Consider the following 19,022-nt stretch of genomic DNA (forward strand, 5'->3'; position numbering starts at 1 on the left):
GTCCTGGTCCTTGATAATTCTTTTCTTTTTTTTTTTTTTTGAGACGGAGTCTCACTCTGTTGCCCAGGCTGGAGTGCAGTGGCACAGTCTTGGCTCACTGCAAGCTCCGCCTCCCGGGTTCACGCTATTATCCTGCCTCAGCCTCCTGCGTAGCTGGGACTACAGGCGCCCGCCACCATGCCCGGCTAATTTTTTTGTTTTTTTGTTTTTTTTTTTTTAGTAGAGATAGGGTTTCACCTTGTTAGCCAAGATGGTCTCGATCTCCTGACCTCGTGATCCGCCCACCTCGGCCTCCCAAAGTGCTGGGATTACAGGCGTGAGCCACCGCGCCCGGCAATTCTATTTTTTTTTTTTTTTTTTTTTTTTAAGACGGAGTCTCATTCTGTCGCCCAGGCTGGAGTGTAGTGGCGCAATCTCGGCTCACGGCAAGCTCCTCCCGGGTTCACGCCATTCCACTGCCTCAGTCTCCCAGGTAGCTGGGACTACAGGCGCCCACCACCACGCCCGGCTAATTTTTTTGTATTTTTTTTTTAGGAGAGACGGGGTTTCACCGTGTTAGCCAGGATGGTCTCAATCTCCTGACCTCGTGATCCGCCCACCTCGGCCTCCCAAAGTGCTGGGATTACAGGCGTGAGCCACCATGCCTGGTCCTATATTCCTTTTCATTCCTGTCGAGGTAAGCTTTTAGTAAATGGATTTCATTCCACCCTTTCCTTCTGGTAAGAAGCAAGGACTGAGGATGATAGAACTTGTAAATGTTTGAATTTCATAGTACACGGTTTATGTGTTGGATTTGTCAGGTGTCCTTCAGCGTTATTTGGTGAAGGTGGGCAAATTAAATTTGCCTTTTTCAATATCCTCTGAATTTTTAATGAGCTGCTATATGTCTTGTCACTTTTTCTGCCCATAGCTATTGTTTTCAGCATAACTGTGTTCTGTAATTCTTTTTTCTCTGCAATAGTAATTTATTTATTTTACTTTTCAAGATGGCTTCCATTTGTGTTATGCAAGTTTTAGATTTTGTACAATATAGAGTGTATAAGACACCTTTTTTTTTTTTTTAAACTGAAGAGCTATGGAATCTAGTATACCCAGTGATATAGCTATGACACATTTATCTAAGAAGGAATATGTTACCACAAAGACAGTTTCTTTCTTTTGGAGAAATTTTCAAATGCATCAGTGCTTTAAAAAAATCACCATTTTGGTATCCATATGTGAGGGTGAGTGATTTTTTCAGAGAGAAAAAATGTGTTCCAAATAGATATCAGTTGATTTCTTTAATCGTAAGTTTTATATTAATGCGTCTTTTTTTTTTTTTTTTTTTTTTTTTTTTGAGACGGCCAGGCCAGAGTGCAATGCCGCGATCTTGGCTCACTGCAACCTCCGCCTCCCGTGTTAAAGAGATTCTCCTGTCTCAGCCTCCTGAGTAGCTGGGGTTACAGGCATGCGCCACCACGCCCGGCTAATTTTGTATTTTTAGTAGAGACAGGGTTTCTCCATGTTGGTCATGCTGGTCTCGAACTCCCAACCTCAGGTGATCCGCTTGCCTCGGCCTCTGAAAGTGCCGGGATTACTGGTGTGAGCCACTGCACCCGGCCTATGAGCCTTTTTAAAAATAAACAAGCTGACTGTTTTTACCAAACGCTATGAAAATACAATTATAAGCTATTCTGTCAATTAGGAATTAGAGGTTCTTAGACCATAGCTCTGAGAGCACACTAAGTCCTCATGCTAAAATTTATTTTAAACATAATTAAGAACAGAGGTGGTTTTAAACCACTTCCCTGCTAACTTTTTTTTTTTTAGACAGGGTCTTATTACTCTGTTGCCCAGGCTGGATGCAATGGTGCGCTCATAGCTCACTGCAGCCTCAAATTCCCTGGTTCAAGCAATCTTCCTGCCTCCGTCTCCTGAGTAGCTGGGACTACAGGCACACACCCCCATACCCAGCTAATTTTTTTGATATCTAGTAAAGACAGGATCTTGCTATGTTGCCTAGGCTGGTCTTGAGCTCCTGGGGTCAAAGGATCCTTCTGTCTCGGCCTCGCAAAGAGCTGGGATTACAGGTATGAGCCACCACGCCCGGTACTTCTAGTTTTTGACATCATCAACTATGGTTGAGTTATGCAGAATCAGATAATAGACTAATTTAGCAAATAATCTTTTTAAAAATTACTTTTAGAGAACTCTAAAAATGTAGGTACTTTAAAATATTTTACTCTAGTCAAAATTTTCTCTTTTGGCACAAACACTATAATTTCCAAAATCAAGGTTTTGGAAAACCTTGATTGTTTTGTACCTTGGTTTTCAACTCCAGAAGAAAAAGTCTAGTCCCTGCTAAAACAAGAATCAGCAAGTTGATGAGCTGGGTGTCTTTGTAAACAACTCCACACTTTCAGGATTAAGAAAACAAGTCTCATATGCTGGGCATAGCTTGGGATCGTGGACTAGATAGGAAACTGTGGCTTTAGCCTTGCCACACTGCCACACACTACCTGCTGAACACAACACAACAATTTAGATTGAGAAAATGTGAATACACCTCCAGTGACTGGAAATACATCTCAATATACAAGTAACTTTATAAGCACATGCGAAGTTTATTATCTTTATGTGCATGAAAGCTTCTGTTATCAGTTTATCAAATATTACATCTTTGACAAAAATGCGTATACATTTGTCACTATGATAGTAAGGCATGCAAACTGCACTAGTACGGAGTTGTTTTGGTTTTGCTTTTTTAGAAAACTCTGATGTTCAGGTGGGGGTGATTTGCGACCTTATAGCAAATGCACAAAGAAAAATCACATGTAGCTTTTAGGAGTTTCAGTTTGGGGATCTAAAGGAGCCTACTTAAAAGGAGGTTGCGTGGAGCTAAATTAATCCTTATTTTTATATTATACACACATATTCATGATAGGAACATGTCTATCTCAGTGACAACATCTCTTGCCACACTCATATTTATATCATATCTTTATCCTTCCTGCTGTATGTCCCAGAATGCAATTGTTGACCTCACTTTTTTTATTAAATTTTTTAAAATTTAATTTTTACTTTTTTTTTCCTCTGTGACTCTAGCCAAGGAAAATCAAGCTAATTAACATGTACATTACTGAGAGGTGACAGCGTGCTGGCGGCCCTCACAGCCCTCGCTAGCTCTCGGCGCCTCCTCTGCCTGGGCTCCCACTTTGGCGGCACTTGAGGAGCCCTTCAGCCCGCCGCTGCACTGTGGGAGCCCTTTCCTGGCCTGGCTGAGGCCAGAGCCGGCCCTCTCAGCTCGCGGGGAGGTGTGGAGGGAGAGGCGCGGGCAGGAACTGGAGCTGCGTGCGGTGCTTGCGGGCCAGCGCGAGTTCCAGGTGGGTGTGGGCTCGGCGGGCCCTGCACTTGGAGCGCCTGACCGGCCCTGGGGCCCCGGGCAATGAGGGACTTAGCACCCGGGCCAGCGGCTGTGGAGGGTGTGCTGGGTCCCCCAGCAGTGCCAGCCCACCAGCGCTGTGCTTGATTTCTCACCGGGCCTTAGCTGCCTCCCCGTGGGGCAGGGCTCGGGACATGCAGCCCGCTATGACTGAGCCTATCCCCCCACTCCCCGTGGGCTCCTGTGCCGCCCGAGCCTCCCCGACGAACGCTGCTCCCGGCTCCACGGCGCCCAGTCCCATCGACCACCCAAGGGCTGAGGAGTGCGGGCCCACGGCACTGGGACTGGCAGGCAGCTCCACCTGTGGCCCGGTGCGGGATCCACTGGGTGAAGCCAGCTGGGCTCCTGACTGGTGAGGACTTGGAGAACCTTTATGTCTAGCTAGGGGATTGTAAATATACCAATCGGCACTCCGCATCTAGCTCAAAGTTTGTAAACACACCAATCAGCACCCTGTGTCTAGCTCAGGGTTTGTGAATGCACCAATCCACACTCTATATCTAGCTACTCTGGTGGGGACTTGGAGAACCTTTGTGTCCATTCTCTGTATCTAGCTAATCTAGTGGGGTCGTGGAGAACCTTTGTGTCTAGCTCAGGGATTGTAAACGCACCAATCAGCACCCTGTGAAAACAGACCACTCGGCTCTCTGTAAAATGGACCAATCAGCAGGATGTGGGTGGGGCCAGATAAGAGAATAAAAGCAGGCTGCCCGAGCCAGTAGTGGCAATCTTCTCGGGTCCCGTTCCACAATGTGGAGGCTTTGTTCTTTAGCTCCACAATGTGGAAGCTTTGTTCTTTAGCTCTTTGCAATAAATCTTGCTACTGCTCACTCTTTTGGTCTACACTGCTTTTATGGGCTGTAACACTTACTGCAAAGGTCGGCAGCTTCACTCCTGAGCCAGTGAGAACACGAACCCACCGGGAGGAACGAACAACTCCAGATGCGCCGCCTTAAGAACTGTAACACTTACCGTGAAGGTCCACAGTTTCACTCCTGAGCCAGTGAGACCACGAACCCCACCAGGAGGAAGAAATTCCGAACACACCCGAACGTCAGAAGGAGCAAACTCCGGACATGCTGCCTTTAAGAACTGTGAAGCTTACCGCGAGGGTCCGCGGCTTCGTTCTTGAAGTCAGTGAGACCAAGAACCCACCAATTCCGGACATATTACCTCACATAGTTAACTTTTTGGGGAGTGAAAACATTTATTTAAAAAGATTTGGCCGAGCTCGGTGGCTCACGCCTGTAATCCCAGCACTTTTGGAGGCAGAGGTGGGTGGATCACGAGGTTAGGAGATGGAGACCATCCTGGCTGACATGGTGAAACCTCGTCTCTACTAAAAATACAAAAAATTAGCCGGGCTTGGTGGGGGGCGACGGTAGTCCCAGCTACTGTGGAGGCTGAGGCAGGAGAATGGCGTGAACCCGGGAGGCGGAGCTTGCAGTGAGCCGAAATAGCGCCATTGCACTCCAGCCTGGGCCAGATCTCATTTTCAAATGGTATGGTGTGCCCTCATTTATTTTTTTTCATTCATTCATTCATTCATTCATTCATTCATTCATGATGTTTTGGCTGAATGCCTGGTATGTGTGGTAAGGAGAGAAAGGAAAAAAGCAAGTCATAATTGCTTCATTCAGAAACTATGGAACCCGGATTCGAATGGGGAGACAACTCTTGGATACTTGTAGAGTTAAGAATAAAAGTTTAGGATTCAGGGCCAGAATAATAACAGTAACAGTTAATTCGACAGGAATTTCTCAAAAGGGGTACTCAGGGTGAGGAGGCACTTTCAGGGAGTAAGGTATAACTTAGGTTCATCCTGGAATGATGGGTAGGAATCAATAGCTAGAAGCGAGGTAGCATTAAAACTGAATTCTGGCAGAATGCTGCAGTTTCGTATAAGAAAAGACTTGTTTTAAATAAAATACTTCACAGAAGGTAGGCAGACATTAGAAGTAAGATTCTTTTTCTTCTTTTTTTTTTCAAGATAGAGTCCCACTCTGTCACCCAGGCTGGAGTGCAGTGGCATGATCTGGGCTCACTGCAACCTCCGCCTCCCAGATTCAAGCAATTCTCGTGCTTCAGTCTCCCACCTGCTTGGACTGCAGGTGCCACCACGACTGGCTTTTTTTTTTTTTTTAAGTTGGAGTCTCACTCTGTTGACCAGGCTGGAGTGCAATGGCAGGATCTCGGCTCACTAAACTCTGCCTCCCGGGGTGGTTCAAGAGATTCTCATGCCTCAGTCTCCCAAGTAGCTGGGACTATAGGTGCATGCCACCATGCCTGGCTGATTTTTGTATTTTTAGTGGAGACGGGGTTTTGCCACGTTGGCCAGGCTGGTCTCGAACTCCTGACCTCAGATGATCTGCCCACTTCGGCCTCCCAAACTGCTGGGATTCGGGCATGAGCCATCTTGCCCGGCCTAATTTTTGTAGTTTTAGTAGAGACAGTGTTTCCCCATGTTGGCCAGGCTGGTCTTGAACTCCTGAGCTCAAGTGATCCGCCCACCTTAGCTTCCCAAAGTGCTGGGATTACAGTTGTGAGCCACTGCACCTGGCCCAAGGTTTTTTTTTTTGAAGTAAAATTATTTTATATATATATGTGTGTGTGTGTGTGTTTAATTAGAGAAAGAAGTAAAGAAGGAATGATCAATGATGTTGGTATAGTGTAAAATGATCCAGCATAATTTATTCACTAAATATTGGCAAAAGATTATATATTAGCTTTTCAGATGGGTGGTTATTGTTCTGATAATGATGAATAAGTGTCTAAAAATTGTTGCCTAGTAAGAGCAAAAATAGGAATAACAGGAATTTTTTTTTTTTTTTTTTTGAGACGGAGGCTCACTCTGTCGCCCAGGCTGGAGTGCAGTGGCACCATCTTGGCTCGCAGCAGCCTCCACCTTCCTGGTTTAAATGATTCTCCTGCCTCAGCCTCCAGAGTAGCTGGGATTACAGGTGCCCACCATCACGCCGGCTAATTTTTGTACATTTAGTGGAGATGGGGTTTTACCATGTTGGCCAGGCTGGTCTTGTACTCCTGACCTCAGGTGATCTGCCTACCTCAGCCTCCCAAAGTGTTGGGATTACAGGCATTAGCCACCTCGCACAACAATAATATGCATTTTTAAGATCCTGTAAATATTTTATTTGTTCTAGCCAACACCTTTATTGAAAAGAAACACTTTTTCTACTTTAGTGACAATTTGTCATGTTAGACATGCAAATCTGATAGATGACAGGAGAAATAAAGGTTGTCCATTTCCCTTGTAACCCCGCCCCAGAGATTTTCTTTTTCTCTTCAAAATTACTTTAGGGACCCGCAATAGAAATGACGTAAGAGGCCAGGTGTGGTGGCTCATGCCTGTAATCCCAGCCTGGGTAACGTGGTGAAACCCCGTCTGTCCAAAAAAAAAAAAAATTTTGTTGGGTGTGGTGGTACACACCTGTGGTCCCAGCTGTTTGGGAGTTCTCAAACAGCTGAGAGGATTGCTTGATCCCAGGAGGCAGAGGTTACAGTGAGCTGAGATGATGCCACTGCACTCCAGCCTGGGCAACAGAGCCAGATCCTGTCCCTTCCCCTAAAAAAAGAAAGAAATGACGTAAAACTGTGAATTTTGGATTTCTAGGGGGCCAGGACCATTTAAAATTCCTAGAAAGAAGTATGACTAAATTCTTGTTGGTTCTTTTGTGAGTATGCTAGTGAATAAGTTCTTCTCATGAGTTTTGAAAATTAGTTCGTATGGGAAAGTTGCCCAAGAATTATAGTGTCACAGGGCCAGAAAAGGGGAAAAAAAGAAAAAAGAAACATCTATTTTTGTCATTTTAATCAGTAGAGTAAGTCAAAAATGGGGAAGATTCTTTTGTCAGTTGTCAAGAAGGGGACTGTCACACCTGCTAAGCAGGTTAAGCTTGTTTTTGAAAGCTTGCAATGCAATTTGCAGTAATTTTTTTCTCCTGCTACTGACCAGATCCAAAACTTTACGTTGTTCACACCAGAACCAGTTATTCAATTTATGAAGCAGTTGATTAAAACATTTACTACTCATTCATCATTCATTCATTCATCCCATAAGAGTTATATGCCTATTTACCAGTAAGGCATCATAGTTGTCTATGTATGGGTGGCTATACCTTCAGGGAGGAAAAGGTATAGCGAATATGGTAGTGAATAAATATCCCTGGGTGTAGGGTTCAATTGTGAAAGTAAAGCATTACATAAACAAATGCAACCATTATTAATTAGTTACCTTCTGTTAGCTAGCTTGGATTTTATTTGGCAGATAATGGGGTTTGTATGATTTGTGCCATGTCACTTCTCTGTGACATCACTGGCAACAGACAGTTGTGTGTCTTTTCATTCCTCCCTTCTTACATTCATAAACACATGTATTTGTTTACTTTAACAAAATGGGATCATAGTATACTGTGCTTTAGAGTATTCTGTCACTTGCCTTTTCCCCCTCCACATGTCCATACGCTATAATCATCCTTCCAAGCCAAAACATCTCAATCTTTGTTGTTGTTATGAATGGCAGCATTCATATTTGATGAAACCAGAATTGATATGTCATCATATCTTCAAGGAGTTTCCTTTTATTTAAATTAATTATTAATAACTTTATTAGAGACAAGCTCTTGCTCTGTTGCTCAGGCTGGAGTGCAGTGGCACGATCATAACTCACTGTAACTTTGAACTCCTGGGCTCAAGTGATTCTCCCGTCTCAGCCTCCCAAAGTGTTGGGATTACAGGTGAGAGCCACCAAGCCTGGCCAATTTCTAAAAAAAAAAATTTGTAGAGATCAATTCTCGCTATGTTGCCCAAGCTGAGAGTTTCTGTTTTAAAAATGCAGCAAAACTGATCAGTTCTCATAATTGAATTGAAGCTAGATAAGGCATTTAGTATTCGATTTATTTATTTAAAGAATTCCACCATCCTTTAAGGGGTCTTGTGTGTACAAATTTGATATGACATGTAACATTTTTCTTTCTTTTTTTCTCTTTTGTTTTGTGTTTGTTTTTTGAGATGGAGTCTCGCTCTGTCTCCAGGCTGGAGTGCAGTGGCACCATCTCAGCTCACTGCAACCTCTGCCTCCCAGGTTCGAGCGATCTTCCTGCCTCGGTCTCCCAAGTAGCTGGGACTACTGGCATGCGCGACCACGCCCAGCTAATTTTTTGTATTTTTAGTAGAGACGGGGTTTCACCATGTTAGCCAGGATGGTCTCAATCTCTTGACCGCGTGATCTGCCTGCCTCGGCCTCCCAAAGTGCTGGGATTACAGGCTTGAGCCACCGCATCCAGCCAACATTTTTCAAATAGAAAATCTGAAGCTAAAATCACCCCTAAAGGACAAATAACAGGACTACAAACAGCGATAAGACAAGGAATTCTATGGGCAACACTTAAGTCTACTGCAGCTTGGGCTGGATATTCTCCTTAAGGAGGAACCTGTCTTTGATTGTTCCATTGCCCTTCAACTCTGAGCCTATTCAATCATTGCAGAGCTTTTGCTCAGTAGCCACTCTCTGTATTCACAGAGGGGCCACCTGCCTCCCTACCCGGCATCTCGGAGCACCTTGCGTGTGCTTGGGTGTCCTGGAGAGCTGAGGAAGCCTGCTCACTAGGGCATCTTCTGCTCTTGCTGTTTTATTGTGAGCAGAAGGGAGCCATTCTTCTGTAAGGTTGGGTGTACGATGTGGTCCTGTTTTCAGGGAATATTCAGTCCTTGCCTTCTTCTGCCATTTGATAGAAGACTTTGGTGTTTTGGTCTGCCGTAATATATTTATACTAATTTGTAGGCCAGGCATGGTGGCTCATGCCTGTAATCCCAGCACTTTCGGAGGCGGAGGCGGGTGAATCACCTGAGGTCAGGAGTTTGAGACCAGCCTGGCCAACATGATGAAACCCCGTCTGTACTAAAAATACAAAAAATTAGCCAGGCGTGGTGGTGCACGTCTGTAATCCCAGCTGCTTGGGAGTCTGAGGCAGGAGAATCACCTGAAACTAGGAGGTGGAGGTTGCAGTGAGCCAAGATCGTGCCACTGCACTCCAGCCTGGGCAACAGAGCAAGACTCTGTCTCATAAAAACAAACAAACAAATATATATACACACACACACATATATGTTTATACTAAATTTTAAAAATTCAACCTATGTGGATCAAAAATTTCAAATTTGTCTGTTCAAGTCTATGTAAACATCATTATGTAAAAGTAATCTGAAAATAGTTTTTCATGCAACAAGAATAATGTATATTTTCAGTCTCAAAGTTGAAATGAATGAGAAATGTCAAAACAAAATGAATTGATTGGGAAATCAAATCTAAGCACTGACAAATATGAAAAGTGTATTATCTAATTAGTAGTTTATGAAAGTGAGGCACTTTTATAATCAAAGAAATAAAACCTTCCAGAGAGATACAGAATTACTCTGACCTGAATTATTTTAATGGGAAAGAGTTGTTTTTGTTTAAAAATTTCAGGTGAAGTTTGATAATTTTATCTTAAGTCCACTTGGCTTCATTTTGTTGGGCAGCATTGGACAGGACAGTGCAGCCTTATACAGATGACTCTCAGTTCTTTAAAAAAAAATTAAAATGGGTCCATGAGAAAATAAAAATTTAATGTATCTTAAGTAGAGGATCTTGAGAAAGCTAAAAACTGCTTACCTAAACTGAGACATTACCACGGATTTGTAGCTAAGTCATTTAGAATAGACTTTATTTGTAAATGTAAAATGATACTGGCACCAAGATATGGTTGTGAAATAGGAAGTCTCCAGAAAATAATGAAAAATTATAAACCGTGCCCATAGACAATAGTCAGCAAAAACAGATTGTGGAAAGACAGGAAGACAGAGCTTATCCTAGTCATGGTACTGAGTGGAGAAAATCTCAGAATTGTGTGCACTCAAAAACTGTGCAGCCCTGTTGAAAACATTTCTTGTAATATTATCTTATAATAGTTACATCTACCTGCACACTGTCTCAAAATAACTTTAGTGTCACAATAATTTTGGTTGAGCTCAACAACGTTCTTTTATCTTTCTAAGCCATATTCATTTCTCAGGGATGATTACAGAATTGGTTAATTTGAAAGAGTTGTAGCATAAATATTGTGACTCATGAAATGTTTTTAGTACTTGTTTTAGACTTTCATTTCCTTTGGTCATGCTCTTGTGGGAGATTTAAGCAGTAATAGCATTTTCATTTTTCTTTCCTGCATTCCTTACCCATGAGAAGGTAATCTTTAATACACTGTTTTTACTTAGTAAGTTCTGGTGTTTTAAAGAAATGGGTTTTTTATTCAATCATAATTTATTGAACACCTACTAAGTGCCCAGCACAGAATCAGATGTTAATCTAACATAATTTTCCTTTTTTCAAATGGTCTTATTTGATTTTTTAAAAAATGGATATTAATGTACACTAGAATGGAGATTTTTGTTTACCAGTTATTTGTTGCTATATAAATGTGGGTTAAATTAGTTTTTCTTCCTTATACCACCAACCTTTCAGACTTTTAAAGGAATTACTGTAGAATTAAAATTAATAGATTCCTCAGTACTGGCCAAACTCATGGATTTGTGGCACTTCAGAATAATATTGGCTTTTAATGAACAGAATAGATTTGCATGGAAATGCCAGTTTCAGGGATAGAATTAGAGTTGGGATTTATTTTTTCCCTGAAGATCTGCTTCGAAAATTTGCCCCAGGTGATCTCTGTCCTTGTCCTAGGGTCACTCCAGAATTACCACTTTTTTCTGCTTGCGATTCATAAAGGTAAGAAGGACAAACTTAGTCTGTTTTGTAGTGGAATTGTTATTTTTTTTTAACCTTATCTTTTATTTTCCATGTAAAATTGCTTTTCCCTCTTTAACTACCTCGCATAGACAGGGCAGGTAGAGTGAATGTCAGATGAATTAAGGTAGCACTGAACTCCTTATTTAGCCTGTCAATAGCTGCATGATTGTTTTTGCATGAAATCCCAAGTTCGTATTAGCTGCTCAACTTTCAAACTTTAATGGGGAAGTCAGTCTTTATTCTTCAGTAGTGTATGATCCGTGAATTAAGTTTGTATTATGCCTTCTGTCCCAAAATTTCCTCTCTCTTAGCTTCTCCCTAGCCCCAGAGATCAGTTTCTCTGCATGTGTCAAACTTCCTTTTCTCTCCTCATATTTCATTCTTCCAGGATCTGTAATGTGTCCAAGTTCTCATAGCTCACTTAAAAATGGATGGAGTCCAGAGGGATCAGTGCCGACTTTTCATTAATCTATTAGAGCTTCACATTTACTGGCTTGCGCCAAGAGATGTGGGAGAGGAGGAAAATGAGTAAGATCTCACCTCCTGGAAAGGAGGGTGCCACTGCTTTTTCAGTGGTAGAGTTGCTCCCTTAAAGCAGACTCTCTCCCAGCTGAATTCTGAGCTGAGTGTTACAGAGATAAGTCAGCTTGAATCTGGAGGAGTGAGAGAGTTTGGCTAGGGCCCTGTGACAGCTTTGTGGTCAGGAAAGAATATGTAAATTCACTGAATTCCCAGGCATTTCAGCCCTAGAGGAGAAGGATTAGGGGAATCCAAGAGTCCTGACCTTACTGTGAGACTGAATTATAACTAGAGCCCTTTTTAACTAACACAGCTTGAGTTTCATATTTGAAATAACGCTTAAATCAAAATAGTCTCCACTCTTCCCATATACTGATGGGAAATTTATTAAATGTTAAAGTCTAATCTGAAATCAAATATAGCTTTAAATAAAACTATGCAACATCATTTAGTAGTGTTTATAACTTGAGTGATGACTGTCTGGGCTCAATAACCCAGATAGGAGAAGGAATTCCATGGCCCTCCTTCCCAATCCAGACCTGTCTGGAAGCATTTATTTGTACTAAGTTTTCCAGTCTGAAAGTCTGTGTCATTGTTTAGACTCTGTGTGAATAAACAGACAGAGCAATAAACTTCCTCTTCAGGTGAGGTTTATATCTTTTAAACTAGACTGTGGCCTCTAAGCCATGGCTTTCCTGTAGAGAGGCTGCATAATTCAGTTCTGCAGATGTTTTGGTGAGGCTTTACCATGTGCCCAACCTGCACTGTGTTCTTTTAGGCATAATGATAATTGCAAAGAAACATGGCTCCTAATGAAGTTGTAGTCATTTTTGGGAAAAGTGAGTCTGACACACATTAATTAAGATACCTACTTCAGAAAATCTTAAAATATGTATCATCGAGGGCTGGGCGCGGTGGCTCACGCCTATAATCCCAGCACTTTGGGAGGCCGAGACGGGCAGATCAGGAGGTCAGGAGATCGAGACCATCCTGGCTAACACGGTGAAACCCAGTCTCTACTAAAAATACAAAAAAAAATTAGCCAGGCGTGGTGGTGGGTGCCTGTAGTCCCAGCTACTCAGGAGGCTGAAGCAGGAGAATGGCGTGAACCCGGGAGGCGGAGCTTGCAGTGAGCCAGGATCACACCACTGCACTACAGCCTGGGCGACAGAGCGAGACTCTGTCTCAAAAAAAAAAAAAAATTATATATATATATATATATATATATATATATATACACACACACACACACACACACACACACAATCAAATGTCATCAGTTCAAGCAGATATGCGCTTTGTAGTCAGGAAGAGGAAAAATGAGTGTTGGCTTTAGTTTTGGGGGGAAGTTTGCTGAAATAAATTGGATTTAAGATGATCTGTGCAGAATGTGTTCACTTTTGGGTGCCAGATTTTAATAAAGTTATCATGGAGCTTCCTATTTGGGTATCAGGCATGACTTAACATCTAAACATCAATCCCTACAACCGTAGGCTAGGGCTCAGACCTAGAGTCCTCAATCTGGTCCGGCCTGCCTAAAACCCTTGTTTATTTCCCCAATATGCTGTACAAATGGTATTATTTACTCTGGGTGCATGACATGAATAATAGTTAAGTAGCACTGAATTAGAGGTATTTCTTTGGAAGGCAAAGGGTCTAGAAACCAGGTCTCTTGAGGAATAGTTGAAGGGCCTTGGCATATGAGCTTAGAGCCGAAAAGATTAAGGACAAACAAAATAGTTATTTTCAAACATTGCAAAGACATTTTGTTACAGAACAAGTTTATTTGTTCTACATCAATTTAAGATGCAGCATGGGGCCTGTTGGGTAGATGTACAAGTGAGCACACAAGAATCCAGCTCAAATAAGAGGTTTCTCACGATTAAAATGCTCGACAGAGCACTGTTTTTCAGAGCAGTGCCTTCTTCATTTCTAAAAGTGTTAAAGAGAAATTGGATGTCCTTGCAGCCGGCTATGTGGCTAGGGTGGCTGGGATGCACTAAGTACGTGTTTAGGGATCCCAGGCAAGTAGAAATTATGGAGGCTTTTTAGAAAAAGACAACTATAGCATGAACAGACACACCAGGGGAACAATGAGAACAGGAAATGTTCGTGTGCCAGGAATGTGTGGAGGAAATGACACGAGCATGAGATTGGTGATCAAGAACTTTAAATATTCTGATAGGCAGTGGGGAACCGTCTTGCTTCCAGTCCTGGGGAAGGATATCACAAAACCAATGTCTGAGGAAGCTTTGCTTTCTGTCTTGTGCCAGAGGAATGTTAGGAGAGAGGGAAAGAGATATATTCCATGCAGGGAGATCACTTTGGGAGCTTTCCCCAATTATACTCTTTCTTAACTGTGCTATGGGTGGGTGGAGAGGGGAGTAATGGAAACAGAGACGGAACATAATCAGAATTTAATGGAAGAGCTAATATGGGTTTCCTTGAAAATTGTCCTGAAATAGAACTCTCCAAATTATTAATTGAAAGTGATGTGGTCAGTTTGTTAGATCAGCAGACCACAATCAGATATCTGCATCTTGGTGCACCACTCAAGCTGACCAGTGACCTGAGACAAGTCATTAAAATTCCTTATATTCTAATTCCCTAGCAGTATTATCCCAGCATGAGAGAATGTTTGCAAAACATTCTGAGTCTTGGATGAAAGGTACCTTATTATAATAATATTATACTATAATTATTCTTGTTATTGGGGTTATTGTTCTCAACATTGATGCAATTTAATACTTCCTACCTTAGGGATATTTTTGTCTTACAGCAGAATTGTGAAAGTGGCTTTCCTGGGAGATATTCTTTGAAAGACTGGGAAATCTTTCAAATATTTGTTTTAATAATAGCTCATTGAGGAAATGTGAAAACTATGTAATATTAAGGATTATCACTCCTATTTTCTTCTCAATCTAATATCTAGGATATGTTGAAAATACTTTTGTTTCATCTCCTTACAGGGAGCTAGAATGGTTTAGATTGGTGCTTTCCTGGGGTACTGATTTTTTTTTTCCTGTGGAATTCTCTGAACAGGGCTTTCCTCAAAAGAATACATTAAGACTGTCAGAATGATTCTTTTCAGCAGATTAAGCCTTGCAGATGCCCTTTGTTGAAGGAAAAAATGCATTATTCTGAAAGTCCTTCTGATCTTCAGGAAAACTGAAAATATCAAATATTCTCCTACCATTTGAACTTCCCTACAAGAAAACCCCAGATATTTTTATTTTCTGGTCTACAATAATTCAGAGCTTATTGTATTTTAAGATGAGGATATAGACATGTTTTGAAGAAAAATTAACTTTTTACATATTCATTTACTGAAAGGAAGACACCCTTCCCCCCACCCTGGAAAGACAGAAATCATAGTGCTTCGTTTTTATTTTTTTGTTTCCTATTTCTTGCACCTGGACATTTTCCTGGATGAAGTGATGTGTACGGCATAATTATCCTGGGACATAATTGCTTCATGTGTGTCAGCAAGACATGGTTCAGATATTTATTGAGCTCTGGTTGTCTGTGTCCTAAATAAGACCGTGCTATTTCAGGGTTGCAAAAACAACTCCAATGCATTGGAAAAAGCAGAAAGGAGGACATTCCTCAAAAAGAGTTGGTTTCATGGTTTAGAAATCCATTTATTGCTTGCACCGACAGACTGTGCTTGAGTGTGCGAAGGCTCACTTTGATTTATAGGGGCTTATAAAATGCTCTGCTCTTTGTACCCAAAGCCACAGACCTGCTGTGAATAGGGCACGGGCCCTGAGTTTTTCTGGTGGTCAAATTTATAAAACCAAACAATAATCTCTTTGGGAAGCTCCTCAAAGGCGAGCCTGAGTCTGTTAACTTCAGTCTGTACAATGTCTAGCATAGGGCCACATGTTGACGAGCCCTCATAAATGTCCTTGTTGCTGTTGATGAATGAAGGATTGAAACTGGGAATAGCATGTAGGGCACAGGCGTTTGTTTTCCATGACAGATAGGAAGAGAGCTTGTACATGGGGAGGGGATAGATGGGGGGGTCAAGGACATATTTTGGGGGATGCTACTGTATTCTTTAAGAAAAAGGAAAAATGGCTCAAATTATCTTTCAGTAGTGTCATGGCCCTCTGCTAGGAAACTGGTTTATGATTTGAAGGTGTCTGAGACGTTCACTCTGATTACAGTGCAAAGGGTCATTTGCACTCTATGATGCAATGATGGCGGAATTCTGTCTCAACTTTGCTGTCGGCCACTCTGACTAGTGTTTTTTGTTTGTTTGTTTGTTTGTTTGTTTGTTTTTTGAGAGGGAGTCTCGCTGTCACCAAGCTGCAGTGCGATGGCACCATCTCGCTCAGTGCAACCTCTGACTCCCTGGTTCAAGCGATTCTCCTGCCTCAGCCTGCCGAGTAGCTGGGATTACAGGCAAGTGCCACCACGCTCAGCTAATTTTTTTTTTTTTTTTTTTGAGATGGAGTCTCGCTCTGTCGCCCAGGCTGGAGTGCAGTGGTGCGATCTCGGCTCACTGCAAGCTCCGCCTCCCAGGTTCACGCCATTCTCCTGCCTCAGCCTCCCGAGTAGCTGGGACTACAGGCTCCCGCCACCATGCCTGGCTGATTTTTTTTGTGTGTGTGTTTTTAGTAGAGACGGGGTTTCAGTGTGTTAGCCAGGATGGTCTCGATCTCCTGACGTCGTGATCCACCTGTCTCGGCCTCCCAAAGTGCTGGGATTACCGGCGTAAGCCGCCGCACCCGGCCATTTTTTTGTATTTTTAGTAGAGATGGGGTTTCAACATGTTGGCCAGGATAGTCTTGATCTTCTGACTTCATGATCCACCCGCCTCTGCCTTCCAAAGTGCTGGGATTACAGGCATGCACCACCACACCCAGCTTACTCTGACTAATCTTTTATTTCAGTCCCTTCCCCTTCCCTTTCTCCCTCATTCCCCACTTCCTTTCCTCCCACTTTTCCTTTCTTCCTTCCTCAACTACTTGTTTAAAACCTGTTTCTCTTCTAGGCTATAAAGATCCCGTTTCCTTCCCATAGCTGAAGACCATTTAGGGAAGGTGGAAGTACATGCCTATAATCCCAACTACTTAGGAGACAGAGGCAGAAGGATCACTTGAGCCCGGGAATTTTAGTCCAGCCTGGGCACCATAGCAAGCCTCCATCTCAAAAAAAGAAAGCGTTTTCATATATGAGTAAAGCTGAGGCTTGCTTATGTCCAGAGGGGGAAAGGTTACACATTTTCAAATATACCTGTTGCATTTTCTTACACAGAAAGTGGGATAGCAAATAAATAGAACATCTTGTCTGTAGGATGAATGTAACCTTAAGAAGTATTGCAGTGTGTTATTATTGCTTAAAATGTATTTATTTAAGACCTCTTTGTTGAGAAAATTTCTCAGTTTGGGTGAAAAGATAGAGAATGGAACCAGTATGCAGTAGTTATATTGTTGAGGGAGTCTTGAAGTGGCAAAGAAAATGAAGTATTTCTTTCAAATAGTATTTTGCAACCGAACTGAAATTCCACTCTGCACAAATGTGCCTGCGAAAAGTTACAGTAATTTAGGATTGAAAAACCTGTATGTTGCTAAATTCATAGTTAACCTAATTTTAGTTTTTGCAGAAAAGACGATTTATAGTATGAAGAAATGATAATACTTTTTTAGGAGTTTTCTTTTTTTCTTTTCTTTCTTTTTTTTTTTTTTTTAAAGAGACAGGGTCAGCCAGGTGCGGTGGCTCATGCCTGTAATCCCAGCACTTTGGAAGGCTGAGGTGGGCAGATCCCCATCTCTACAAAAAATATAAAAATTAGCCATGTGTGGTCGCACATGCCTGTAATCCCAGCTACTTGGGAGGCTGAGGCATGAGAATCCCTTAAACCTGGGAGGCGGTGGTTGCAATGATCTGAGATCATGACACTGCACTCCAGCCCAGGCAATAGAGTAAGACTGTCTCAAAAAAAAAAAAAAAAAAAAAAAAAAAAAAGATGGGGTCTCACCATGTTGCCTAGGCTGGTCTTGAACTCCAGGCCTTTAGCAATCCTCCCACCTTGGCCTCTCAAAGTGCTGGAATTATAGGCATGAGCCACTGTACCTGGACTAAAAAAGATTTTTCATGCGAAAATTATGTGATTTTTGGTTACCTTTGTTGTAAAAACATTTTTTCCTTTTTATTTGCTTCCTAGAGCTCTATTCAGTGAGAAGGTTTTATTCTGTGTATTAATCAGCACACACTTCCCATGCACATCTTCTCCTAAAGTGAAGGCCTCCAACCTGAATTTCATCCCTGTCTCCAATCTAATCTTTATCAGGGTGATTTTGACTTCGTCCTACCCTCTGGATGGCAGTGGGGCCACAGGTGGTAACTGTCACTCTTTGAAGCTTCCTCATGTCCATAGGCCTCGGTCCCGGGTCCATTTGTTCTCAGCAGCGGGTTGTGCCCTTTGCATCTGAGCTTGTTCAGTGTCCATAGTCCATGGTGTCCCTCCTCAGGTCTGGCTTTGCTTTGTGGTTCACATGGCTCACAATCCGGCTTGCCCAGGATACTGCCACTGTACCCCTGCTGCTCCACCATAGTTATTCAGAACACCACTTTCCTTCTCTAGTTTCGTTCCTGAGTTATTTCAGGTATTAGTGCAGAGAGGGGCCAGGTTCAGCTTGGGTGTTACTTTATTTTTTAATTTTTAATTTTTTAAAAATTTATCATTATTTTTTAGACAGAGTCTCGCTCTGTCACCAGGCTGGAGTGCGATGACGCGATCTTGGCTCACTGCAACCTCCACCTCCCGGGTTCAAGCAATTCTCCTGCCTCAGCCTCCTGAGTAGCTGAAATTACAGGCGCCTGCCACCACACCCGGGTAATTTTTAGTAGAGACGAGGTTTCACCATGTTGGCCAGGCTGGTCTCAAACTCCTGACCTCATGATCCACCCGCCTCGACCTCCCAAAGTGCTGGGATTACAGGAGTGAGCCCGCGCCTGGCTGCCCAGCTAATTTTTTTTGTATTTTTAGTAGAGACGGGGTTTTGCCATGTTGGCCAGGCTGGTCTCGAACTCCTGACCTCAGGTGATACACCCACCTCAGCCTCCCAAAGTGCTAGGATTACAGGCGTGAGCCACCGTGCCTGGCCTTGAGTGTTACTTTAAATCTAATATTGTTGTATTGGGGTAGAGGTAGAGAAACCATTGCCTGTAGTAACTTAGTAACAATGGGTCTATATTAGTAGGGTTCTGATCTGGGAAGAGGATATCAATTATTTACTTAATAGATAATCATTTACCACCTATTTTGTG

General features: G+C 42.5%; 1 long non-coding RNA gene across 1 annotated transcript in view, besides 3 other annotated features; it reads left to right on the forward strand.

The window, feature by feature from the left end:
• Positions 1 to 19,022, forward strand: part of CASC15 (cancer susceptibility 15) — a 529,408-nt gene that overhangs the window by 91,446 nt on the left and 418,940 nt on the right. The gene's annotated exons all lie outside the window — the stretch shown is intronic.
• Positions 11,591 to 12,204: an enhancer, noted in NCBI's record as "H3K27ac hESC enhancer chr6:21769680-21770293 (GRCh37/hg19 assembly coordinates)". NCBI's record gives its function as "activates a minimal SCP1, AML or CMV promoter by ChIP-STARR-seq in naive H9 embryonic stem cells {active_cell/tissue: H9 hESC(naive)}" and the evidence as "EXISTENCE:reporter gene assay evidence [ECO:0000049][PMID:30033119]".
• Positions 12,728 to 13,227: an enhancer, noted in NCBI's record as "H3K27ac hESC enhancer chr6:21770817-21771316 (GRCh37/hg19 assembly coordinates)". NCBI's record gives its function as "activates a minimal SCP1, AML or CMV promoter by ChIP-STARR-seq in naive H9 embryonic stem cells {active_cell/tissue: H9 hESC(naive)}" and the evidence as "EXISTENCE:reporter gene assay evidence [ECO:0000049][PMID:30033119]".
• Positions 15,359 to 16,081: an enhancer, noted in NCBI's record as "H3K27ac-H3K4me1 hESC enhancer chr6:21773448-21774170 (GRCh37/hg19 assembly coordinates)". NCBI's record gives its function as "activates a minimal SCP1, AML or CMV promoter by ChIP-STARR-seq in naive H9 embryonic stem cells {active_cell/tissue: H9 hESC(naive)}" and the evidence as "EXISTENCE:reporter gene assay evidence [ECO:0000049][PMID:30033119]".

Source organism: Homo sapiens, chromosome 6 (assembly GCF_000001405.40).
Source record: "Homo sapiens chromosome 6, GRCh38.p14 Primary Assembly".
NCBI classification, from domain to species: domain Eukaryota; kingdom Metazoa; phylum Chordata; class Mammalia; order Primates; family Hominidae; genus Homo; species Homo sapiens.